General features: G+C 54.9%; 1 protein-coding gene across 2 annotated transcripts, besides 5 other annotated features; it reads right to left on the bottom strand.

Moving 5' to 3' along the window:
• Window positions 763-963: a silencer, noted in NCBI's record as "peak1310 fragment used in MPRA reporter construct". NCBI's record gives its function as "represses an SCP1 promoter by STARR-seq MPRAs in K562 erythroleukemia cells {active_cell/tissue: K562}" and the evidence as "EXISTENCE:reporter gene assay evidence [ECO:0000049][PMID:32103011]".
• Window positions 1,936-2,436: an enhancer, noted in NCBI's record as "H3K27ac hESC enhancer chr11:66841392-66841892 (GRCh37/hg19 assembly coordinates)". NCBI's record gives its function as "activates a minimal SCP1, AML or CMV promoter by ChIP-STARR-seq in primed H9 embryonic stem cells {active_cell/tissue: H9 hESC(primed)}" and the evidence as "EXISTENCE:reporter gene assay evidence [ECO:0000049][PMID:30033119]".
• Window positions 4,340-19,510, bottom strand: RHOD (ras homolog family member D). 2 transcript variants are annotated; one of them, NM_014578.4, is made up of 5 exons: window positions 19,323-19,510; window positions 10,374-10,461; window positions 9,510-9,619; window positions 5,798-5,932; window positions 4,340-4,922 (listed from the first exon to the last, which is right to left on the bottom strand). In NM_014578.4, the coding sequence occupies exons 1-5, from the start codon at window positions 19,452-19,454 to the stop codon at window positions 4,755-4,757; spliced, it is 633 nt and encodes a 210-aa protein (NP_055393.1). In that variant the 5' UTR covers window positions 19,455-19,510; the 3' UTR covers window positions 4,340-4,754. The 2 variants fall into 2 exon arrangements, with proteins under 2 accessions (NP_055393.1, NP_001287815.1); NM_001300886.2 differs by lacking the exons at window positions 9,510-9,619; window positions 10,374-10,461.
• Window positions 19,372-19,441: a silencer, noted in NCBI's record as "silent region_3610". NCBI's record gives its function as "represses an Ori minimal core promoter by ATAC-STARR-seq in GM12878 lymphoblastoid cells {active_cell/tissue: GM12878}" and the evidence as "EXISTENCE:reporter gene assay evidence [ECO:0000049][PMID:35858748]".
• Window positions 19,452-19,611: a silencer, noted in NCBI's record as "silent region_3609". NCBI's record gives its function as "represses an Ori minimal core promoter by ATAC-STARR-seq in GM12878 lymphoblastoid cells {active_cell/tissue: GM12878}" and the evidence as "EXISTENCE:reporter gene assay evidence [ECO:0000049][PMID:35858748]".
• Window positions 22,431-22,540: an enhancer, noted in NCBI's record as "active region_5067". NCBI's record gives its function as "activates an Ori minimal core promoter by ATAC-STARR-seq in GM12878 lymphoblastoid cells {active_cell/tissue: GM12878}" and the evidence as "EXISTENCE:reporter gene assay evidence [ECO:0000049][PMID:35858748]".

The following is a 24,491-nucleotide window of genomic DNA, read 5'->3' as shown; positions in this document are numbered from 1 at the left end:
GCTGAGCTGAACTTCAGCCCTACCTCTGGCCACATGACCCTACACAGACCACTCTCCTGCTTTGAGCCTTATTTTCTTCTCTGAAATGGGTCTAATAATGGCATCTCATCAATCAAGCGTCTGGCATGGGGTGGGAACCCAATAAATCCCAGCACCTGTTCCTTCTGCTGGGATCCTCAGGTGCTGCTCAGCCTGCTTCAGCGGGACTTCTGTGAGCTGTAGCTCTGCTGGTGTCTGGGTCAAACCACGTGGTCTTCACAGCCTTGCACCTGCCATGTTGCCCCCAATCCCTGAAAGACAATTCTAGGCCTTCTTGTCTCTGTAAACTCTGAGCTCCTTGGGGTCTGGAAATACTGGTACAAAGCAGGGGTCCAGGGCTGGGGGTCTGGGGAAGAGGTGACTCAGGACAGGGGTCCAGTGTAGTGGCTGACAGCCAAGATTCTGGACAGTCAGACTGTCCTGGGCTTAAACCTTGGCTCTGCTACTTCTTCTTCTTTTTTTTTTTTTTAGAGACGGAGTCTTGCTCTGTCACCCACGTTGGAGTGCAATGGCACAGTCTAGGCTCACTGCAACCTCTGCTTCCCAGGTTCAAGTGATTCTCCTGCCTCAGCCTCCCTAGTAGCTGGGATTACAGGCACACACTGCCACACCTGGCTATTTTTGTATTTTTTGTAGAGACAGGGTTTCACCATGTTGGCCAGGCTGGTCTCAAACCCCTGACCTCATGATCTACCCGCCTCGGCCTCCCAAAGTGCTGGGATTACAGCCTTGAGCCACCACGTCCAGCTGCGGCCCTGCTACTTCTTGAGGTCATGAGCATTTGACCGAGCCCTCTGTGCTTCCGCCTCCTCATCTGTGAGGTGGGTGTGTACCTGGTCCTAGCTCACTGGGGCCTGTGACTACTAAATGGGATACTTCATGGAAAATGACTAAGCACAGCACTAAGCACATAAGTGGGTCTTTTCTTTTTTCTTTTATTTATTTATTTATTTTTTTTTTTGAGACAGAGTCTCGCTCTGTTGCCCAGGGGGAGTGCAATGGCGTGATCCCGGTTCACTGCAACCTCCACCTCCCGGATTGAAGCAATTCTCATGCCTCAGCCTCCCTAGAAGCTGGGATTACAGGCACGTGCCATCACACACAGCTTATTTTTGTATTTTTAGTAGAGATGGGGTTTCACCATATGGGCCAGGCTGGTCTTGAACTCCTGACCTCAGGTGATCCACCTGCCTTGGCCTCTCAAAGTTCTGGGATTACAGGCGTGAGCAGCCACGCCCAGCCTCAGTGAGTCTTAAGTCAATGTGAACTTATTAAAACCAATTCAGTGACAAGCCCACCCCATGATCTACTCTGCTCTACAGCACTTAGAACCCTGCAGGGGGATTAGCCAGGTGTGGTGGGCAACTGTAGTCCCAGCTACTCGGGAGGCTGAGGCAGGAGGATTGCTTGAGCCCAGGAGGTTGAGGCTGCAGTGAGCTATGATTGCACCACTGCACTCCAGCCTGGGCAACAGAGCAAGACCCTGTCTGTAAAAAAAAAAAAAAAAGAATCCTGCCGGGGCTTGAGGGGGAGGTCATTCCTAAGAGAGATCTTGGGGTGTCCTGAATCAGATGAAGTTTGAGCACCCCCACTGTCTACCCATCTGGCCAAGCCACAAGGTGAGCAGGGCACTTATGACTCCCCCACCACAGCTTCATTTCTGGCCTGAATGAGTAACTTTCTTATGCTCGGAGGCTCGATCTGAACCAAACCATGAACCAGCAGCCAAAGCTGCACTAAGCTACTCTATGGCCATGTGCTCTGGACTCAAACCCAAATATTCTCCAACTGTACTGTGAGCCTAATTAAAGCTCTTGGGAAGTTCCAAAACCAAACATGTATTTTCTTTTTTTTGAGACAGAGTCTCACTCTGTCATCCAGGCTGGAGGGTAGTGGTGTGTTCTCAGCTCACTGCAACCACTGCGTCGCAGGTTCAAACAACTCTCCTGCCTCAGCCTCCTGAGTAGCTGGGACTACAGATGCGTGCTACCACACCTGGCTAATTTTTGTGTTTTTTATAGAGACAGGGTTTCACTATGTTAGCCAGGCTGGTCTTGAACTCTTGGCCTCAAGCAATCCACCTGCCTTGGCCTCCCAAAGTGTTGGGATTACAGGTGTGAGCCACCGCGCCCAGCCGAACTGGACCATTTCTTTTGCGCTGATACACATGATCCTTAATGAGAACCAGCTGCTGACACCTGTCCCGGAAGTTTCATCAGAAACAGCTCCAGGTGGGGGACTGCTTCAGCAACGTGGGGCCTCACAGCTCAGATTACAGGGCCGAGCTGCCGCAAGTGAAATAGTGTTAGGGGCCAACGTGGAAAACCCTACCTAGATTCCAGTCCCCACTGTGAGGTTTCTTTTTTTAAAATTTTTATTATTTATATATTTTATTTTTAAATTATTATTATTTATTAATTTATTGTTATGGTTCTTTTTTGAGACAGAGTTTTGCTCTTGTTGCCCAGTCTGGAGTGCAGTGGCGTGATCTCGGCTTACTGCAACCTCCGCCTCCCGGGTTCAAGTGATTCTCCTTCCTCAGCCTCCTGAGTAGCTGGGTTTACAGGTGCCCACCACCATGCCCAGCTAATTTTTTTGTATTTTTAGTAGAGATGGGGTTTCAACATGTTGTCCAGGCTGGTCTCGAACTCCTGACCTCAGGTGATCTACCCTTCTCAGCCTCCCAAAGTGCTGGGATTACAGGCGCGAGCCACCACACCAGGCCCCACTGAACTTTTAATCTCACCTGCTCAGGGATGGGAAACAACTTTTCCCAGCTTCCATTTCCAGCCTGATTGCTCTTCCCCTAAGCATACCCTGCACCCAGAATATTCTTCCCTATTCTCCCCAAGCCTAGTGAGCTTAACCTAGCTCAGACAGCTCTCCTCTGTAACTTCCCTGTGTTCTTGGAGCCCTTGATGGTTTTGCTGTTATGCTTTTTATGCAGACTTCTTGCAGATTTTTCTTCTTGCACAAGCCTCAACTGCTCTGAAGTCAGAAGTCAAGATCCTTTTTTTTTTTTTTTTTTTTTTTTTTTTTTGACAGAGTCTCGCTCTGTCACCCAGGCTGGAGTGCAGTGGCGTGATCTCAGCTCACTGCAACTTCCACTTCCCGGATTCAAGTGATTCTCCAGCCTCAGCCTCCCAAGTAGCTGGGATTACAGGGACGTACCACCACATCCAACTAATTTTTATATTTTTAGTAGAGACCGGGTTTCACCATGTGACCACTAGGCTGGTCTCGAACTCCTGACCTCAGGTGATCCATCCGCCTCAGCCTCCCAAAGTGTTGGAATTACAGGCGTAAGCCAACACACCCGGCCACTTTTTTTTCTTTTTTTTTTTTTTTTTCTGCTTTGTAGCCCAAGCTGGAGTGCACTGGTACAATCGTGGCTGGGACAGGTGTGCCACAGCACCTGGCTACACCTTTTTTTTTTTTGAGAAGGAGTCTCGTTGTGTTGCCTGGGCTGGAGTGCAGTGGTGTGATCTCGGCTCACTGCAACCTATTCTCCTGCCTCAGCCTCTGGAGTAGCTGGGATTACAGGTGTGGGCCACCACGCCTGGCTAATTTTTGTATTTTTAGTAGAGATGGGGGTTTCACCATGTTGGTCAGGCTGGTCTCAAACTCCTGACCTCGTGATCCACCCACGTCGGCCTCCCAAAGTGCTGGGATTACAGGCATGAGTCACTGTGCTCGGCCCTGGCCGAACCTTTTGTGAGCACTTACTGCGTGCTAGGCACCTACTAAGCTCTTTGCGTGTGTTGGTCCTCATGACCCTCTTACTCATCCGAAAGTTCCATGGCTTAGTCTGTGATCCATTTCACAGGTGAGGAAGCTGAGGCCCAGAAGAACTTGCCCAAGGTCGTGGAAGCAATAAAGCTGGTTTGGATCCAAGCAGTCCCATCCCAGTGCCTAGATGGGGTGGGCTTTTACCTACCTTGGAACGTGTGTGTAAAGACACCTTGAAACAAGAGGCATAGGCAGGGCGTGGTGGCTCATGGCTGTAATCCCAGCACTTTGGGAGGCCGAGGCGGGTGGATCATGAGGTCAGGAGTTCGAGACCAGCCTCACCAACATGGTGAAACCCCGTCTCTGCTAAAGAAAATACAAAAATTATCCGGGTGTGGTGGCGCGCGCCTGTAATCCCAGCTACTCAGGAGGCTGAGACAGGAGAATCGCTTGAACCCAGGAGGCACAGGTTGCAGTGAGCTGAAATGCGCCACTGCACTCCAGCCTGGGCGATAGAACGAGACTCCGTCTCAAAAAAAAGAAAACAGAAAAAAGAGGCACGACACAATGATAAGTGATGTCGTTTTTCTTGTTACAGTTACCAGTATGACAGGTGGGAAGGGGCCGGGTGTGGGTTCTGGCCAGAGGGACCTAAGAACATTAGGTCCTGGCAGGTGCAGCCCTGGGAGCAGCCACGAGGGGGCATCAGGCTGCACAGGCGGCTCCAGGATGTCGGTCCGGGACCGGGCATAGGGGTTAGCGAGTGATTCTCGGGCACCGCAGGACGAGCCCTACACAGAGCAGGTGGGCCCAGGAACCCCCTTTCTCAGTCCAGGACTCCCAGGCCTCAGGGCCTGGCTTTGGTGGCGCCCGTCTGTTGCAGTGGAGTTCGGCGGTCACAGCCTAGGGACCGGGTCCAGCCCAGCCAGCTCAGCAGCAGGTCAGCGCCCTGCCCCTTCCCGCGTCGCTGGGACGCCCCGAGCCGCTCAGGTCACCACGCAAAAGCCCTGGGTAATCCGCCGCCAGAAGTTGCGACCGCGGCTGCTGAGGGCCACCTCGGCGGCCTCCTGGAAGACGGCGTGGACGTTGTCATGGAGCCGAGCCGAGCACTCGAGGTAGGCCACCGCGCCCACGGACCTCGCCATCTCCTGGCCCTAGAGGGAGAGGTGGATGGGGCTGCGGTGAAGGGGGCACTGGGCAGGCCTCACGTTCTCGCTTCCTTTTCCCGGACAAGAGTGGAAGGTGGGGTCTGCGGAGCACCCATGGCTCCCGTATCCCTGCTTGCCCAAGCGCCCTCATGCACTTCATCATGTTTGTTTTTCTTTTCTTTATTTTTATTATTATTATTTTTTTGAGACGGAGTCTTGCTCTGTCGTCCAGGCTGGAGTGCAGTGGTGCGATCTCAGCTCACTGCAGCTCCTCCAACCGGGTTCAAGTGATTCTCCTGCCTCTGCCTCCAGAGTAGCTAGGACTACAGGCACCCGCCACCACACCACTTGGCTAATTTTTTGTATTTTTGGTAGAGACAGGGTCTCGCTATTTTGCCCTGGCTGGTCTCGAACTCCTGACTTCAAGTGATCCACCCACCTCGGCCTCCCAAGTGCTGGGATTACAGGCGTGAGCCCCTGCGCCCTGCCAGCCTTCGTTGTTTTTAACCTCCGTTCTGGGCCTCTTTGCCTCTCAAGGCACCAAGAAATGAACTTCCCATGAACCCAGACGTGTAGCAGAGAGGGACCCACGGTCTGAATATGTGGGTGCCTGCCTGGGCCCCCTCTCTGGGTCTCAGGTTGGTGGTGGAACTGACTCTGATATGCCTACTTCCTTGTTCTCCCTTTTGCCTGTGGAGGCTCCCAGAATATTCTAGGGACCATTTCTAAGTGCTGGAAGTTTCTGACCTCTGACAGCCTCTAAGACGACCGCAGCTCTGACCTACACCCTGAGCGTTCTGGACACCTGGTGCCACTGAGAGGCATCCAGAGGTCCCCTCACTCAGTCCTCCCCAACTCCCACCTCGGGCTGGGTTTCCTACCCTGTGGTAGGTCACAGGCTCCAATCCGTTTCTTCGGAGCTTGTTCACCAGTGATTTGTCCTTGCGCAGGTCAGTCTTGCAGCCCACGACGATGATGGGTACCTTCTTGCAGAAATGATTCACTTCTGGGTACCACTGCAGGGGGGCGAGGGGGCATGTGGGGGGCATGTGTGAGCCCTGGAGAGTTCTGGCCCTCTCAGTGGACCACTCTCTTGCTCCCCAGCCTGAGCTCTGATATGGATAATCAGCAAAGCCAGCACCTAGGGAGAAACTATTTGGTACCAGAACCTCATCTAAGAATTTACACGTATGGACCCATTAATTCCCCGAGGCCGTGGCAGCAAGTTCACAACCAATCCCACTGTACAGGTGCGGTAACTGAGGCACAGAAAGGCGATGTAACTTGGCCTTGGCTGGAAATGGCAGGATTTGAGCCTGGGGGTGGGGCTCAGAACCCTGCTCCTGCCGTTCTAGAATCTTTCCTCTCTGCAGGGTAAGGGCCCTCATGGACACCCACCAAACTGAGCAAAACATATAAGGAAGTAAGGGATCCTTTAAAAACAAATCTGGGCCAGGTGTGGTGGCTCACGCCTGTAATCCCAGCACTTTGGGAGCCTGAGGCAGGTGGAACACCTGAGGTCAGGAGTTTGAGACCAGCCTGGCCAACAGTGAAACCCTGTCTCTAGTAAAAATACAAAATTTAGGTGGGCATGATGGCGGGTGCCTGTAATCCCAGCTGCTCGGGAGGCTGAGGCAGGAGAATGGCATGAACCTGGGAGGCGGAGGTTGCAGGGAGCTGAGATCGCGCCACTGCATTCCAGCCTGGGCGACAGAGTGAAACTCCATCTCAAAATAAATAAATAAATCAATTAAAAAGATAAAAATAAATCAATCAATCCAGGCCGGGCTCGGTGGCTCACGCCTGTAATCCCAGCACTTTGGGAGGCTGAGGGCAGGCAGATCACCTGAGGTCAGGAGTTCGAGACCAGCCTGGCCAACAAGGGGAAACCCCGTCTCTACTAAAAATACAAAAATTAGCTGGGCGTGGTGGCGTGCACCTGTAGTCCCAGCTACTCTGGAGGCTGAGGCAGGAGAATCGCTTGAACCTGGGAGGCGGAGGTTGCAGTGAGCTGAGATGGAGCCACTGCACTCCAGCCTGGGCTACAGAGTGAGACTCCGTCTCAAAAAAATAATAAATAAATAAATCTGCTCACAAAATGGTTGCAGCAGCTGTCTGCCTCAACTGCTTGCCTGGTGGAGGGAGGGCTGCTCTGCAGAATGTGAGGCCACCAGGGCCGAGTTCTTTCAGCCTGGACTACAGCTGGGGAGCCGGGGATCCCGGGAGGGGGCTTCCTATCTCCAGGAGCACTAAGTCGGCTGAAGTCGGCTGGTTTGGGCATGAAACTTGCCTGATAAAAATTGGCATCAGCCGGGCTTGGTGGCTCAAGCCTGCAATCCTAGCTACTCGGGAGGCTGAGGCAGGAGAATCGCTTGAACCCAGGAGGTGGAGGTTGCAGTGAGCCCAGATTGTACCACTGCACTCCAGCCTGGGAGACAGAGTGAGACTCTGTCTCAAAACAAACAAACAAACAAACAAACAAAAATTGGCATCAAACTACCTCATTCCTGGAAGCAAATGGGGCCTTTGTGGGGTCCCTGGCAGATTCCCCACACCCCCGCATCCACCGAAACTGCCCATGAGAAAGGTTTCCTTGGTGGCTCCCACTGAACCCAGCAGTGAATCCTCTCTTTTTTGAGACAGTCCCGCTCTGTCGCCCAGACTGGAGTGCAGTGGTGCGATCTTGGCTCACTGCAACCTCCGCCTCCCGGGTTCAAGCAATTCTCCTGCCTCAGCCTCCCAAGTAGCTGGGTTATAGGCATGTGCCACCACGCCCGGCTAATTTTTGTATTTTTAGTAGCAACGGGGTTTCACCATGTTGGTCAGGCTGGTCTCAAACTCCTCAAATAATCCACCCTCCTCAGCCTCCCAAAGTGCTGGGATTACAAGGCGTGAGCTACCGCACCCGGCCACCATCAGAGAATCCTTAGCCCTGCTCCTACTGATCCCTCGATAACCCCGACCCTGGGCATCACTCCCTCCTACCTGACTGAGCCTGCACTTCACCCCAGGACCCCACTCTCCTGGCTCTCCTAGGTCTTATGGGGCCTTGCCCTCCTCCTCCTCTCCCTGGGGTTCAGCCTGTGGTCTTTCCTCTCCTCTAGCTGCTCTCCCTTCCTGGGCAGCCTCCCCCAGGCTTTACTGCACCCGTAGCTTCTAAATGTGCAGCTGCATTTAGGCTGCCCAGCTGGACTGCCTGCTCGGAGGAACTGCAGACGCATGCATCGCACTGCCTGCCGGACACCTCCACTAGGATGTCCCACTCCCGAACCCAGCTTGCTCCTTGTCATCTTGGCCAAGGGCAACTCCACCTTCCAGCTGCTCTGGTAAAAACTCCTCCCAGGCTGGGCGTGGTGGCTCACGCCTGTAATCCCAGCACTTTGGGAGGCCGAGGCGGGCGGATCACGAGGTCAGGAGATCAAGACCATCCTGGCTAACATGGTGAAACCCCGTCTCTACTAAAAATACAAAAAATTAGCCGGGCGTGGTGGCGGGCGCCTGTAGTCCCAGCTACTCAGGAGGCTGAGGCAGGAGAATGGTATCAACCTGGGAGGCAGAGCTTGTAGTGAGCCGAGATGGCGCCACTGCACTCCAGCCTGGGTGACAGAGCAAGACTCCGTTTCAAAAAACAAACAAACAAACAAAAAAACTCCTCCCTCCCACCCACATCCAATCCAACAAGAAACTCTGATCATCAGCAAACTCCGCCTTCTAGACCGATTCAGAATCAGCCCCCTTCTCGTCACCCCCACTGCTAGCACCCTGGCCCCAGGCACCACCATCTCTCCTGGTACCCAATGCCCAGAACAGCACCAGAACGAATGTGCTCAATCATTCGTTCTGAATGAATGGGCGGAGCAGCCTGCCTGGGTTCAAATCCCAGTGTTACCACTTTAATAGATGTGTATCTTTGGACGAGTGACTGGATCCGGGAATAATAATACTCCATAAGGTTGGCCGGGGGAGTAAATGAGTAAATACATGCAAGTACCAAGAACACTGCCTGGCACGTGGTCAGTCCTTAAAATTGTCACCGTTGTTGTTGTTGTTGCAAATACTGTCATGGGCTGTACCCTGCGGAAACTCGGAGGCCCTGGCAGCAGTGGGTGAGGGGCTGTGCCATGGCTAAAGGCAGCTGGAGCAGAGGAATTCAAGGGGCCACATCCCTGATGCCCATGAGCAGCCTCTGAGAACCAGCAGCCACGCAGAGCTGCTGGACTCTGACTTGACTGTTCATGCACCTTGGGCGGGCACAGGCTGGGGAGATGTAGCAGCCTCTGGCTCACCCAGCAACCTCAGGCAGAGCCGCCGTGGGAAGAGCCACAGTGTTCGGAGTCTGCAGCATAGGGTAGGCAAGGAGCACTGTACTGGGAGTCAGAAGGGCAGACGCTGCCACCAAATCCCTGTGCCAGCAACCCTGGGCAAGCCACTGCCCCACTCTGAGCCTCAGTTTCCCCATATATACACCAAAAGCTCTGGAATCAATATCATTTTGGGCCTGCCAAGCTCTGACAGTCAGCTGGGTCGAGGGTGGGTGGCAGAGTGGAGTGGCCTGGCTATGGGGGCTATGCCTCCCTGCCCCCCAGTACCTACCCGGTTAAAGATGTTGTCAAAGCTGTTCGGGCTGGTGACATCGAAGCAAAGCAGCAGGACGCTGGCGTCAGGGTAGAACAGGGGCCGCAGGCGGTCATAGTCATCTTGCCCTGGGCAGAGTGGAGGTGGTCACTGCCTTCAGGGCTCCTGGCCCCTGTCAGCACTGCCCCAATGTCAGGAGGTCACCTCATCAGATGGGGAGCTTCTGGGGACAGGGCCTAGTTTTTTGCCTCAGAGTTTGGCACAAATTTGGCTCTGAGGTGGCTACTCCATGTGAGTGCCCCTTTGGGGCAGTGCTCACCTCTGCCTGTGGGATGTCTGGAAGGGATGACGGGCAAGGCAGAGGCCAGGCCTGGCACCGCCTGGAGGAACTGGGGCCAATTGCTCAGAAGCCAGCTTTGCCCTGAGCTTAGGAGTGAGAAATAAGGGGTAGGTGGGAACCTGGCAAAGACATCTTAGCCCGTCCAACTAAGAGGGCTGCTGGGAGGCCCTGAGTTTAGCTTAGAGCTCACCCTGGTATAGGCAAGGTCAGGAGGCTGGAGGGCAGAGGCCACGGACAGACAGATCCTACAGAAACTAAAAGCAGAGTGGAGTGCTCAGAAGGCCAGGAACAGTCCTGAAAGCAAAGTGCTGGACTCCCGCTTGCCTCCAGGACGTAGCGGGCGGCCCTGGGGTGCTGGGGGTGCAGGAGACACTGCTGCAGAGGCAAGGAGGGCTCAGACTCCTGGGCCCACTCCTGGCCCACACCTGTCCCTTGGAGACTGGCTGGCCTCCCTGGTTCAGAAGGAAGCAGAGCGGAATCTGTCCCAGGCATCAGGGGCCCACAGAAGCCCCTCCCACCCTGCCCCACCCCTGCACACCCACCTGCTGTGTCCCAGATGTGGAGGTGCACAGGTTTGCCTTTCACTTGCAGGTTGACCATGTACCGCTCAAACACCGTGGGGGTGTAGCTCTGAGGAGAAGCAGGGCGGGGGAGGGTGTGAGGAGGCTTCGGAGAGGCACTGGGGACTTGGTCTGTCCACAGCGCTGCTCCCTCCTTGGGGGTCAGTGGAGCGTAGTTGTTTGTGAGAAGCCTCCTCCTTGGCCTGCCTGGGGTGGCGGCCTAGAGCCTGTCTGCTTTTGCAAACTCCTGAACCTCCCCAGCTTTGTTCTCAGTTGTGAAATGGGAATATTAAAAGTCCCTACCAGCCAGGCACCATAGCTCACCCTGTAATCCCAGCACTTTGGGACGTTGAGGTGGGCCTTGAGGCCAGGAGTTCGAGACCAGCCTGGCCAACATGGTGAAACCGTCTCTACTAAAAATACAAAAATTAGCTGGGAATGGTGGGCCTGCCTGTAATCCCACTACTTAAGAGGCTGAGGCACGAGAATTGCTTGGGACTGAGGTTGCAGTGAGACGAGATCGCACCACTGTACTCCATCCTAGGTGACAGAGCAAGACTCTGTCTCAAAACAACAACAACAACAACGAAAAGGCCGGGTGTGCTGGCTCACGCCTGTAATCCCAGCACTTTGGGAGGCCGAAGTGGGCGGATCATGAGGTCAGGAGTTTGAGACCAGGCTGACCAACATGGTGAAACCCTGTCTCTACTAAAAATACAAAAATTAGCCAGGCGTGGTGGCACATGCCTGTAATCCTAGCTACTTGGGAGGCTGAGGCAGGGGAATAGCTTGAACCCGGGAGGTGGACGTTGCGGTGAGCTGAGATCGCGCCATTGCATTCCAGTCTGGGTGACACAGTGAGACTCCGTCTCAAAAAAAAAAAAAAAGTCCCTACCGCAGTGCCGCTACAAGGATTCAGTGAGATATTCCATGCGGAGCCCTTAGCTCAGGGCCTGGCATAAAATAAGCACATCTACATGCCAGCTACTGTTATTTTTATCATTGCCCTCTGGATGGGGGCAGGGGACTCCCGTTTTTCTTTTTTTTCACAGACAGGGTCTCCCTGTGTTTCCCAGGCTGGAGTGCAGCAGCTATTCACAGGCACCACAGCTCACTGCAACCCCAAACTCCTGGGCTCAAGCAATCCTCCTGCCTCTGCCTCCCAAGAGCTGGGACCACTGGCACACACCGCTGGGACTCCCATTTCTGAGCCTTCATTCATGTTGTCCCCCCTTCCTAGAACAACATTAACCTACATGTTTATTCATTCCTTGCTTTGTTCATTTGTTCATTCACCTACTCATTCAGCAGCATTAGCACCTTCTCTAGGCCCAGTTCTGGACACTGGGAAGCAGGCACCAAAGACTCAATACCTGCTCTGGGGAACTCGCAGCTTTTTGGGGTTCCTCCTTTGCCTCTCAACCTCTCACAATCCAAACAAGACCACTATTAAATGCTACCTTCACCTTTCTGGGATGCCTTTCCTGATCCCTTACCAGAATGCCCCAATGCGCCCCTCTACCGTTTTTTTTCCTTCTCTTTTTCCTTTTTTTTTTTTTTTGAGAGGGAGTCTCACTCTGTCACCCAGGCTGCAGTGCAATGGCGTGATCTGGCTCACTGCAACCTCCGCCTCCCAGGTTCACGCCATTCTCCTGCCTCAGCCTCCTGAGTAGCTGGGACTACAGGCGCCCGCCACCACGCCCGGCTAATTTTTTGTATTTTTAGTAGAGACGGGGTTTCACCGTGTTAGCCAGGATGGTCTCGATCTCCTGACCTCGTGATCCACCCGCCTCGGCCTCCCAAAGTGCTGGGATTACAGGCGTGAGCCACCGCGCCCGGCCTTTTTTTTTTTTTTTTTTTGAGACGGAGTCTCACTCTGTCACCCAGGCTGCAGTGCAGTGGCGTGATCTTGGCTCACTGCAACCTCTGCCTTCTGGGTTCAAGGGATTCTCCTGCCTCAGCCTCCCGAGTAGCTGGCATTACAGACATGTGCCACCATACCCGGCTAATTTTTATATTTTTAGTAGAGACGGGGTTTCACCATGTTGGTCAGGCTGGTCTCGAACTCCTGACCTCGTGATCTGCCCACCTTGGCCTCCCAAAGTGCTGGGGTTACAGGCATGAGCCACTGTACCCGGGCTTTTTTTTTTTTTTTTTTTTTTTTTGAGAGAGAGTCCTGCTCTGTCACCCAGGCTGGAGTGCAATGGTGTGATCTCTTGGGTCAATGCAACTTCTGCCTCCTGGGTTCAAGTGATTCTTCTGCCTCAGCCTTGTGAGTAGCTGGGATTACAAGCACACGCCAGCACACCTGGCTAATTTTTTGTACTTTTAGTAGAGATGGGGTTTCACCATATTAGCCAGGCTGGTCTTGAACTCCCGACCTCAAGTGATCCACCTGCCTCGGCCTCCCAAAGTGCTGGGATTACAGGCATGAGCCACCACGCCTGGCCTTTTTTTAAAAAAAAAAAAAAAAAAGATAGGGTCTCACTCTGTCACCCAGGCCTGAGTGCAGTGGTGCGATCTTGACTCACTGCAACCTCTGTCTCCCAGGCTCAGGTGATTCTCCTACCTCAGCCTCCTGAGTAGCTGGGATTACAGGTGTGGGCCACCATGCCTGGCTAATTTTTCTTCTTTTTTCGTAGAGACAGGGTTTTGCCATGTTGCCCAGGCTGGTCTCGAACTCCTGAACTCAAGCAATCCACCCACCTTGGCCTCCCAAAGTAATTTTTTGTATTTTTTGCAGAGATGGGGTCTTGCTATGTTGCCCAGGCTGGTCTTGAACTCCTGGACTCACACGATCCACCTGCCTTGGCCTCCCAAAGTGCTGGGATTACAGGTGAGCCACCACGCCCAGCCCAGTGCCCCATGTTTGGGCCTTTCTTCTTTGTCCTGCCTGGGCTTGGGAGGAGGTCACCCAGGACAGAGGCCCCTTACTCCAGCCCTGCCCAGCCTGAGCTCACTGCTGCCTTTCCATGAAGGTGAGATGAACGGGCAGCAGGCCAGGTTTTGTACACAGATGAAAATGCAGGAATGAAGAGGGAGCTTTTGTAAGATGGGTTTGCAAAACTCTGCCACAACCTGTGCCCTCTGCTCTGAGGGGATGCTGGGCCGCCCGCTCTTGGGTCCCTAAGCCTTGACTGCCTGCTCAGGGCTGGTTGATGGGGCCACAGTCTGGGGGGCCCCTATCCTCTTCCCTTCCCATGCCGGGTGCGGCCCACACCTGCCCGTGACTCAGGAGAATTTCACGCCTGCCTGCCCGCTGGCCCTCTGAGTCAGGCCCTGGCCAGCTGGGAGGGGCAGCACCTGAGCAGTGGGTCAGCACCGTCCTCCAGGGAAGCTGCAGGGAGTGGGGTGGGGAGAAAGGCAGGTCCCAGAGTGGGCAGCTGAGGAAGATGGAGAAGTCTGGATAGCCTTGAGGTAAGGGCTGGCCCCACCCCAGACTCTAGACATGCTATCACTCCCTCTACCAAAAGGAACCAACAGGAACAGACAAGGGCCTCACCTACCTCTCCATCCCCCCTTGCCTGCTCAGGGTGCCCTCCCTCAGGCCCTTTGCCTTTGCCAGGGCAGTGTGACCTGGTAGCTAGGAGCACTAGCTTTAGGTTTAGATATGCCTGGCTTAAGACCGGGCTCCAGCACTCACCTGCTATGTGTCCTTAGGACAGTCTCCTCACTGGTTAAAGGGGGAGAGTGTCATGCCATGATGTGGGAGGGAGGATGGACTGGCAGGTGAGGCCCCAGCATAAATGCTCACCACCAGGGAAGCTGGTGGCCAGGGGCAGTGTCCACACGAGCCCCCGTCCATCCTTCCAGGTGGTGACACCTTCGCCAGTGATATGGATTGGCTGTGTCCCCAAGCAAATCTCATCTCGAATTGTAATCCCCACGTGTCGAGGGAAGGACCTGGTGGGAGGTGATTGAATCATGAAGGCGGTTTCCCCCATGCTGTTCTTGTGATAGTGAGGGAGATTTTTTTTTTTCGACGGAGTCAGGCTGGAGCGCAGTAGTGCAATCTTGCTCACTGCAGCCTCTGCCTCCTGGGTTCAAGTGATTCTCCTGCCTCAGCCTCCTGAGTAGCTGGGATTACAGGTGTGTCACCACGCCTGGCTAATATATATATACACACACACACACACACACACACATATATATATACACACACATATATATATATACACACACACACACACATATATATATATATATATATTTTTTTTTTTTTTTTTAGAGAGGGTCTCGCTCTGTCGCCTCCTGGACAGGCTGGAGTGCAGTGGCCTGATCTCGGCTCACTGCAAGGTCCGCCTCCCGGGTTTGATTTTTTTTTTTTTTTTTTGAGACAGAGTTTCGCTCTTGTTGCCCAGGTTGGAGTGCAATGGCACGATCTCAGCTCCCCACAACATCTGCCTCCCAGGTTCAAGCGATTCTCCTGCCTCAGCCTCCTGAGTAACTGGGATTACAGGCATGTGCCACCACGCCCGGCTAATTTTGTATTTTTAGTAGAGATGGGGTTTCTCCATGTTGGTCAGGCTGGTCTCGAACTTCCGACCTCAGGTGATCCACCCGCCTCGGCCTCCCGAAGTGCTGGGATTACAGGTGTGAGCCACCGTACCCAGCCTAATTTTTGTACTTTTAATAGAGATGGGGTTTTACAGTGTTGGCCAGGCTGGACTCCTCCTGACCTCAAGTGATCTGCACACCTTGGCCTCCCAAAGAGCAGGGATTACAGGTGTGAGCCACCACGCCTGGCCAATAGTGAGGAAGTTCTTACGAGATCTGATGGTTTAAAAGTGTGGTGCTTCCCCCTTCTCTCTCTCTCCTGCTGCCACATAAGAAGTGCCTTGCTTCCACTTCACCTTCCACAATGATTGTAAGTTTCCTGAGGCCTCCCCAGCCATGCAGAACTGTGAGTCAATTAAACCTCTTTTCTTTATAAATTACCCAGTCTCGGGTAGTTCTTTATAGCAATGTGAAAATGGACTAATACACCCAGCCCCTCCGCAGCTTCTGACCTTTGTCCTAGAGTAGGGGCCTGTCATTGTGAAGGGCACTGGTGCCCTTGCATCTGAGCTCCCAGCTTGACCACCCACTCAGTCACCTTCTTGATCTGAGCTGCAAGGCAGCCTGCTGGAAATCTCTTGGGAGACATGTTTCAGTGCTTTGCAAATGCCCATGGTAATGACACCACCACCCACCATTCTCTAAGGATCTTCTGTGTGTGGCTGTGTACTGGCACCATCTCCGATCCTTGCAAGCTCGGAACGTCAGTACAACCTTCACTTTCTGATGATGCCCAGAGAGAGGAAATGACTTGTTCAAGGTGACACACTGAACAGCTGGCTAGTGACAGAGCCAGGTCTTTGTGGCTGCAGAGACCAGGCCTTGTCCTCAGCCACCTGCCTTTCCTGAGGTTACCAACTCCAGTTCCCGGAGACAGAAAGGGGCTGGGTTTCCCCTCTGGCTTGTAACTGTCACAGCCCTTTCCCCCACTCGGGACGTCATCCTAGAGACTCTGTCTGTACCTTTTGTTGTGTTGTTCTTTGACCCCCAGGCAGGGTCACCCTCTGTCCATGGGATCAATGGCACCTAATTTTATCTGTTAAGCCGTCCTCAGCCAGAAAAGAAGGACTGGGCCTGTGCTGGACCAGGACGGAGATGACTCAGGCTCAGGTCTGCCCTCCAGGGGCTCACAGACAGAAAATGAATCATTACCAAGATGGGGGACCTGGCTCAAGAGGGAGTGTCGGGGCATCCCTGGTTAGGACACCCATGGGAGTCCAAGTGCGAACCAGGAAGGACCCAGGGGGCTCTAGCCAGCAGGGCCGGGTGCTCCCTGCCACCTCCTATCCCCATGCTGGTGTGGGGGCTGCTAGGCTTTGAACCTGTGGGAATGGTTGCAGCCACAAATGCCAGCCAGGACTGGGCAGAGGCTGGCACCCCAGCCTGGGGCTTCCCCCTGTCCTAGGAGCTCTCTCCACCTTGCCCTCCCCTGCTGCCCTGAATCCAGGGTTGGGTCACAGCCAGATGAGGGTCACTGAGGTCCCTCCAAATCCTCAGGCTGCTCTCAGCCCTTTGCTGTGTGCAGGAAGTCTGGGAGATGGGACTCCAGCCTCCTGGCTGCTGGCCCCTTGGGCTTCGAGGGCTGCCTAGAGGAAGAGTCTGGTGCTAGGGACAGGGGCAGGAGGAGGCTGGGTCCAGCAGGCAGAGCACTGGGGGCTGTGGAGAAGGCCCTGGTCGGGAGGGGGAAGACCTGGGCTCTAGATCAGTGCTGCCACTGCCGGGCCATGTGCCCCCAGGTAAGCCTCTGGGTTCTGGACTCAGTTTTCCCATCTGCAAAATGAAGCCTTTCCAACTCTTACACGTTGTGGGTTCTTTTAATTAATTTATTTAATTACATATATATATATATATTTATATATATTTTGAGACGGAGTCTCGCTCTGTTGTCCCCGAGCTGGAGTGCAATGGCGCGATCTCGGTTCACTGCAACCTCCACCTCCTGAGTTCAAGCGATTCTCCTGCCTCAGCTTCCCGAGTAGCTGGGATTACAGGCGCCTGCCACTATGCCCGGGTAATTTTTTTTGTATTTTCGGTAGACATGGGGTTTCACCATGTTGGCCAGGCTGGTCTTGAATTCCTGACCTCAGGTGATCCACCCACCTTGGCCTCCCAGAGAGCTGGGATTACAGGTGTGGGCCATTACGCCCGGCCCATTGTGGGTTCTTTAAATGAAGAGGACTCTCCTGCTCCAGGGAACTCAGAGCCCCCAGACGGGAGGAGCCTGGACAAATCCAGCCCATTTTCCTGGTGATAAGCATGCCCTCCCCCCATTTCTGGCCAGCCCCAGCATGTCCCTCAAAGCATTCACATCTTATCAACTGGAAGAGGCCCATTTCCACGTCATAACTCCTCTGAAGTTGGGATGGTCTCACCATCAAGGACATCTCAGAGCTGGTGGTGAGGCATCAGCCCTCCAGCCCCCGCCCATCAGGTGCCTTCCCCTGGGCCTGGGCCACCTGTCCCTGTGTGGTGCTCTTCCCCGGGTGCCCTCATTGTTGGGTTCCCATGGGCAGCATCTAGGGGCCCAGAAACATGTTTCCCCCAACTTAAAAAAATGTATGACTGGTCAAAGGAGGTGACACCAGCTCCGCAAGCTACTAAACAAAAGTGGCTCAATGCCACTGCAGCAGAAAGCACATGGGCCAAGGGTGGGAGACAGGCAGACAGATATCATCCTGATAAGAACTACAGTGTGATAAGAACTGGGGTAGGCCCGACCGTCCTGCTTGTGCTCAGATGCTCCAGCACCTATACAACCCCAGGGGCTTAGAGGATGCTGGGAAGAAAAGGAGGAAGAATGCCAGTTGCGGTGGCTCAGGCCAGTAATCCTAGCACTTTGGGAGGCCGAGGCGGGCAGATCGCTTGAGGCCAGGAGTTCGAGACCAGCCTGACCAACATGGCAAAACTCCATCTCTACTAAAAATAAAAAAATTGGCTGGGTGTGGTGGCTCACACCTGTAATCCCAGCATTTTGGGAGGCCAAGGTGGGCGGATCACCAGGTCAAATGATCGAGACCATTCTGGCCAACATGGCGAAACCCTGTCTCTACTAAAAATATACAAAAATTAGCTGGGCACGGTGGCACGCGCCTGTAGTCCCAGCTACTCGGGAGGCTGAGGCGGGAGAATCGCTTGAACCTGGGAGGCAGAGGTTACAGTGAGCCGAGATTGTGCCACTGCACTCTAACCTGGCGACAGAGCGAGACTCCGTCTCAAAAATAAAATAAAATAAAATAATTTTAAAAATTAGCTAGGCGTGGTGGTGGGCGCCTGTAATCCCAGCTACTTAGGAGGCTGAGGCAAGAGAATCGCTTGAACCCAGGAGGCGGAGGTTGCAGTGAGCTGAGATTGTGCCAATATCACTCCAGCCTGGGTGACAGAGTGAGACTCTTCTCAAAAAAAATAAAAATAAAAAAAAAGAAGAGATGCTGGAAGCAACTCCATGGACTCCCAGGACAACAGGGCTGAGAGGCGGCAGAGCAGGGGCCGCCTGGTGCCCGTGGAGTCTGCCTGGGCAGTCAGTGAGCATGTCAGGAAGGATTAACGGTGGGCATGCCTACAGCGCCAAGGACATGCCAGCTACCGCACGGGAGCTGCCTGTCAGCCTCCCCTGGGCTCCACTTCACCACTGCCCTACAGTCCCTCTACCCCATGGGGTTGTTGTGAGGAAACTGAGGCTCAGAGAAGCTAAGCAGGTTACAAAAGGGCACGGGGCTCAGAGGAGAGCAGAGACGCGGGCCCAGCAGCTGAGGCTACAGCTGGCGTGCTCCCACCCTCCAAGGCAGAGCCCATGGCATGTGCTTTCCAGCGGCAAGAGCTGGAAGGGAGACAATGTTTCCCAGGAGCGACATGTGCCAACTCTCCGTGAGTCCTTCCTGTGCACAGGCCGGGGCTGAGTGCTTGAGGTCTATTAACTCTCTGTCACAGTGACCCTGTGTGGTGGGCACTGTCACTCACCTGTGATGTAGTGAGGGACACAGGCACAGCAGGGTTAGGGGACTTACCCAAGGGCACACAGCTATAAGAGGCAAAGCCATAATTTGAACCTCGGCAGTCTGGCTTCCAAGCTCTCAGGCCCTCAGCGGAATTGTGTGGCCAAGTGCTGTCTTAGGATCTTGTGTGCACCCAGGTCGCCTCACTCAGTCCTTGTGACACCTCTCCCCGGTGGATGCCATTCCTCCGGCTTTACAGATAACATCACTGAGGCCTTCATTCCCAATGGCTGGGGCGGAAGAACTCTGCCCTGGACCCCAGGCCCCGCTGGGACACCCCTCGGAGGCCGGGTTAGGCGCACAGCCTGGGCCGCTCCGGCACGGACCTGTACACCCGGGCGCGCGAGCGGAACCGGGCGAGGCGGAGGCGCGGGGCACTCACCTCGGGGAAGGCCCCATCGGCGAAGACCATCAGCAGCGACGTCTTCCCGCAGCCGCCGTCGCCCACCAGGACCACCTTGACGGACCGCACGCCTGGTGGCGCCTCCTCACCCGCGGCCTGGGCCGCCGTCATCCCGGGGCCGGGCGCTGAGCGGGCGGGCGGGCGGCTGCGGCGCAGAGACCCAGACTGCGCGGGGCAGGCCCGGCGGGGCAGGAATGTGGAAGGGGCGGGGCGGCGGGAGGAAGTGCGAGCCGGGCGCCCCGAGAGCCAGGTGAGAGGCCCGGGCGGCTGGGCTGGGGCCCTTCCTCTCCAGGCCGTCTAGGTCCCTGAAGAAACGCTGCCCGAGCACCTACTGTGAGCTGGCCGCGCTGGGGCCACGGGAGGTCGGAAGGGAGAAGACAAACAGCGGGACCATGACAGTGGGGGCGGGGGTGTGCTCAGGGGCTGGGTCCCAGATCCCAGGCAGGAGCCAGTGACCTTTAGTGAATGAATGAATGAATGAATGAATGGTGCATTTCCCCAGGGGTCTCAGGACGCAGCACAACACAGGCGTTTCATGCCAGGTGGGAAGGGGATGACCCCCTTCACTGGCCCCACCAGGCCTGGCCTGCCCCCTCCCGCAGCACCAGGAAGCTCTGCTGCAGGTGGGCAGCCACCTGACACCGTGGCTGGCCACGATCTAGGGAAAGCGATAGAACCTTCCCTCTGTAAAGTGTGAGTGTTTCTTATTATTGCACCATGAGATGTCCCCCTGGTGCCCAAGGGCCCGGGGACCCTGAACTGTTTAAGACAAAATCCAGGCCCTGCCTTGAGAAGCCCACGGCTTAGAATGGTAGACACGCAGGACATCAGTGTGATCAGAACTACAACGGGAGTAGGGACAGGCAGCGGGACGGGAGTAGGGGAAAAGAGCTCCTCGCCCACGTTGAGGGAGTCAGGAAACCTTTCAGAGTCTTGAGGAAAAAGTGAAACACAGTCAGATGGGGGAGGGAAAAGGTGTTCCACCGGAGACAGCGGCACGTGCGAAGCTGCGGAGGCCGGAGCGGAATGCTGCCCCCCCACCCCGCCCCCGCAGAGGGTGAGGCTCGCTTGCACAGTGGTGCAGCATGAGGAGCTGGTGCTTGCTCAGTGGAGCACGTTGGATGCCAGCAGTAAATCCAGCATTGAACTGGGAACTCATTGTCACCTGATCTCTCCACTTCTCCTAATGGCCAGAGTTGAAATCTTTTAAAAATGGGCACAAGGGTCTTCCCAGATCTTGGACTGAGTGTTTCTATTGAAGCTTAAAAGAACAAGGGGCAGACGTCATTAGGTTCCCCCTAATTTATGCTGGTCATGACATCCCCCCTCATGGAGTTCCAAGTCAGGCAGGTGAAAAAGCACCTTCAACCTCCTTTAAACTCACTGTGGTCTAAAGAGGCAGCCAGGGCAGGAGTCACTAGGTGGAGAGGCAGAGCCCAGCTCCTTGACTCCTCTGCCCGGCTCCCGCTCCGGGCTGTGGTCTGCAGGCTGGATGGAGCCCCACTTGGAGGGAAGGATCCTCCCCAGCACAGCTCTGCCTTTCCAGGTGCCCCTTCCTCCCCGAAACTGCCACAGGGCTCGGCAGTGACTTGACACTGGGCTGGGCAGGTAGCTCCAGAGCAGGGCTCCCCGCCCCAAGGAGTGGTGAGAGGGGCCCCACCCCCTCGGATCAGCTGTCAGCATCTTCCTCCCAACTGCTGCTGTCGTCAGGCCTTGGGTGGCAAGGCTGGAAGGCAGGTGGGGCCAGACTGGGGGTGGAGGGAGCTGAGAGTCAGGCAGAGGCGTTTGGCCTTGGTTGCTATAGGGATAATCTCTGTAATGACACACTTGATGTTTGTCATGCTATACAGTTTCACTGAACATTTCCTAATAATAACAACACCCATTAGTGGATTGCAAGCCACGTGTAGGCACTGTTCCCTAGGAGGTAGGGACTCTTAGCTCCATTTCACAGATGAGGAGCCTGAGGCCCAGAGAGGCTAAGTTGTTGACTAACATCCACAGCTAGTAAGAGGCTGAACTAGAATTTGGATCCAGGCGTGACCCCAAAGCCAGGTGGTCTCCCTCCATCACGCCTCATCTGCACAATTGCAATTTCATTTAGCTCTCAGACCACGAGGTAGACCAAGCAGATGACCTGCTTCCTCCCATTTTACAGATTTGGGAACTGAGCCTCAGAGAGAGGCAGAGGGGTGTCTTAGACCAGCAGGACACAGCAAGGATTCAATCTCCTGACGTCAAGCCCCAGCCTCCGCTCCCCCACCATGCTTACGCTCCTGCGAGAGGGAGCTTAGTCACCAGGCCACAGAAATCGGCTCTGGTTGGCAGGGAATGTCCCTGAATCTCAGACATTGCTGGACCTGGGACCATACTGTTTTCCTGGAATTTATTTTTAGAGTGGTGGCCCAGGTCACACAGTCTGCCTGGCCAGGGTACTGTTTACTGTTTTAGTGTTTACTGAGGCTTCTCAGGACTTGCAGCCTGTGGGAGACTTAGGCCCCTCGAGGCCCCACCAACCCCAGGCCCAGATCTGTGGGGAGCCCAGCACCGTGGCCTACTGCCCTGAACCCTTCAAGGGCAGGGGCCAAGGCTCACCGTATCCCCTAGAGGAGTGCCTCTCTCAGGCTGGCACCCAGCTGTGGCTCAGGACGGTATGCCCAGTTGATCTCCTGGCCAGACAAACCAAAGGGACAAGAAAGAAAAAAACAGAGTGAGAAAGAGAGGAAGGAAAGACGGAAGGATGGACGGCAGAGGGGCTGGCTTAGAAGAATAAACAAACTGAAGAAATGAATAAAGGAACAAATACTTGCATGGATGACGAATACCACATGTGACATGAATGGGGAGTCTGTGGACAGGCAACCACTCTCCAGCCTCCGCCTACTCCAAGGCCCCCTGGCCTCACCCCTCTCCCCATTTTCTCACATCCCACCCCCATCCTAAGGCCAAATCCTATGCGGTCCTGATCGAGTCTCCACTGCCCTCATGTGGTCGCTCAGCTCCCTGCACAGTCATCACCTGGGGCTGCCTCCCTGCTTGGGGTTCCTGGCTTGGGGGTGTGGGGTGTTTGTGGATGGCTGAATGAAGGGGAGAGATACAGTCTTTCCCCTTGGAGTGGCTTGGCAGGGTGCACGGGCCCTGGTGTGTAGCTCCCGAAGCTCTTGGTTCCGCGTGCATCCCCTGTCCTCTGCTCTTTTTTTTTTTTTTTCCATGGGGAGTCTTGCCCAGGATGGAGTGCAGTGATGTGATCTCGGCTCACTGCAACCTCCGCCTTCCGGGTTCAGGCGATTCTCCTGTCTTAGCCTCCTGAGTAGCTGGGATTAGAGGCACCTGCCACCACGCCCAGCTAATTTTTGTATTTTTAGTGGAGACGGGGTTTCACCATGTTGGCCAGGCTAGTCTCAAGCTCCTGACCTCAGGTGATCCACCCGCCTCGGCCTCCCATAGTGCTGGGATTATAGGCGTGAACCACCGCGCCCGTCCCTGGCCCACATTCATCTGAAATACTGGATCCTAAGAGCCTTTGCCCTCAGCCTGAACTCCTCCACCCAAAGCCTTGACCTCGCATTTACTGAGCACCTACCTGTGCCGGACACTTGGCACATGTCATTTCATGCCATCCTATGAAGTATGTTCAATTCTTATCCTCCTTTGACAAGTGAGGAAACTGAGGCCCAAAGAGGTTGGATAATTTGCCCAAGGTCCCGCAGCTAGTAAGCAGAGAAGCTGGGATTTGGACCCAGGCCCTTGGGCTCCGGAGTCCATACACACAGAATGTCCAAAAGTCAGAGGTACAGGGCTCTTTAGAGGCCATCTTATCCAACACCCCCATTCTTCAGATGGGGAAACTGAGGCCTGAGAAGGGAAGGAACTTACACAGCAAGTGAGCAGCAGACTCAGCTTTACGCCAGGTGGAAACCAGAGGGCCTCTGCTCCCAAGTTTCTTTTTGTCTAGCCTGCCCAGACAGCTCCAGCCTGGCTGCCATCTAACTGGAGCCCCAGGCCACGGGGACGTGCCCTCCTGCCCTGGCCTCCTCTCCCTGCCAAACCATTATTGATCTTTCAGGTTGGGACGGAAGGGCTGATAATAGGGTGGGAGGGGTGGAGAGAGAGGAGGTCTGGTGGCCCCATCCTGGTGCTTATTAAGCCTTTTGATTTGTCCCTTTTGGGGGTCTGCAGGCACAGACAGATAGAAGAGAGGAAGGGAAGTTTGGAGCTTAGAGCTGCTGCCGACCGTGATGCAGTGGCTTGCTCTGCTTCTCCCACATGCAGGCCTAGCCCAGGCAATGCTGCTGGGCAGGTCAGAGACCTCCACACCTGTCCTCTTCGGTGGGGCTCCCAGACAGAGGGGGCCTGGGACCCTGGAGGTGTGTCCTTGGGCCCAGGGCTGGAGGAGGGGAGATGAAGGGGTGGGGAGGGATGGGACCCTGGATGTGGGGTGGCCTGAGAAAGGAGGGAAATAGGTTGGGAAGATTACAAGAGAGAAGAAGGAGGCAAGACAGCTTCTCAGAGCCTGGGTTGTCCCAGCTTCTCTCCAGGATGGCACCTCAGTTTGAGTCCTGCTGAATGAACCCAAACCTAAAGGCAGCTCAGAGGCCTCCTGCCTGCCCCTCCTGCCACTCACTGGCGAGGGTAACATTCACTGATGTCCCTCTGTGTCACCTCCAAAGCTGCTTAGAGTGACCCCTCCCTCCCTTGGACCTGCTCCTGCTCAAGACCCCACCATGGCTCCCCACTGCCAGCAGGATAAGGAGCTTCTCCCTGAGCTTGGACACACAGCCTCCACAGCCCAACCCCACCTGGCCTCTCAAGCCTCAGCCCAGCTGTGTCTCCCCAGACACTGTGACACCTTTGCTCAGGCAGTTTGAGACCCCTCTCCCTCCTCCATGTGTACAGTCCCCCTGCTGCAAAGCCAGCTCTCATGCTTCTACCTCCTCCAGGAAGCCCTCCCTGGTCTCTGCCCCTCTTACCGGCTCCTGCCACAGCCCGTCTCATTGGTTGCCTCAGAAGCTCTTCGGAGTCAGTCCCTGTGGTGGACAGGCCTCCCAGGAGCTGCTGGGAATTCTCCATCAGCTCATCCTTATCCATGCTTGATGTCCCACGCTTCTGATCTTCCAGGGGTGGGGAGGGGAAGGCAGCAGCCTGGGA

The sequence above is a fragment of the Homo sapiens genome, chromosome 11 (genome assembly GCF_000001405.40).
Source record: "Homo sapiens chromosome 11, GRCh38.p14 Primary Assembly".
Classification (NCBI taxonomy): domain Eukaryota; kingdom Metazoa; phylum Chordata; class Mammalia; order Primates; family Hominidae; genus Homo; species Homo sapiens.
This window is presented reverse-complemented; position numbering and strand designations above follow the sequence as displayed.

Coding starts and splice junctions, on each gene's coding strand:
- RHOD (NM_014578.4), bottom strand. CDS start 19,454: ATGACGGCGGCCCAGGCCGCGGGTGAGGAGGCGCCACCAGGCGTGCGG. Junction 10,462..19,322: donor CCGATGGGGCCTTCCCCGAG/GTGAGTGCCCCG, acceptor GCTTCTCCTCAG/AGCTACACCCCCACGGTGTT. Junction 9,620..10,373: donor CCACATCTGGGACACAGCAG/GTGGGTGTGCAG, acceptor CACTCTGCCCAG/GGCAAGATGACTATGACCGC.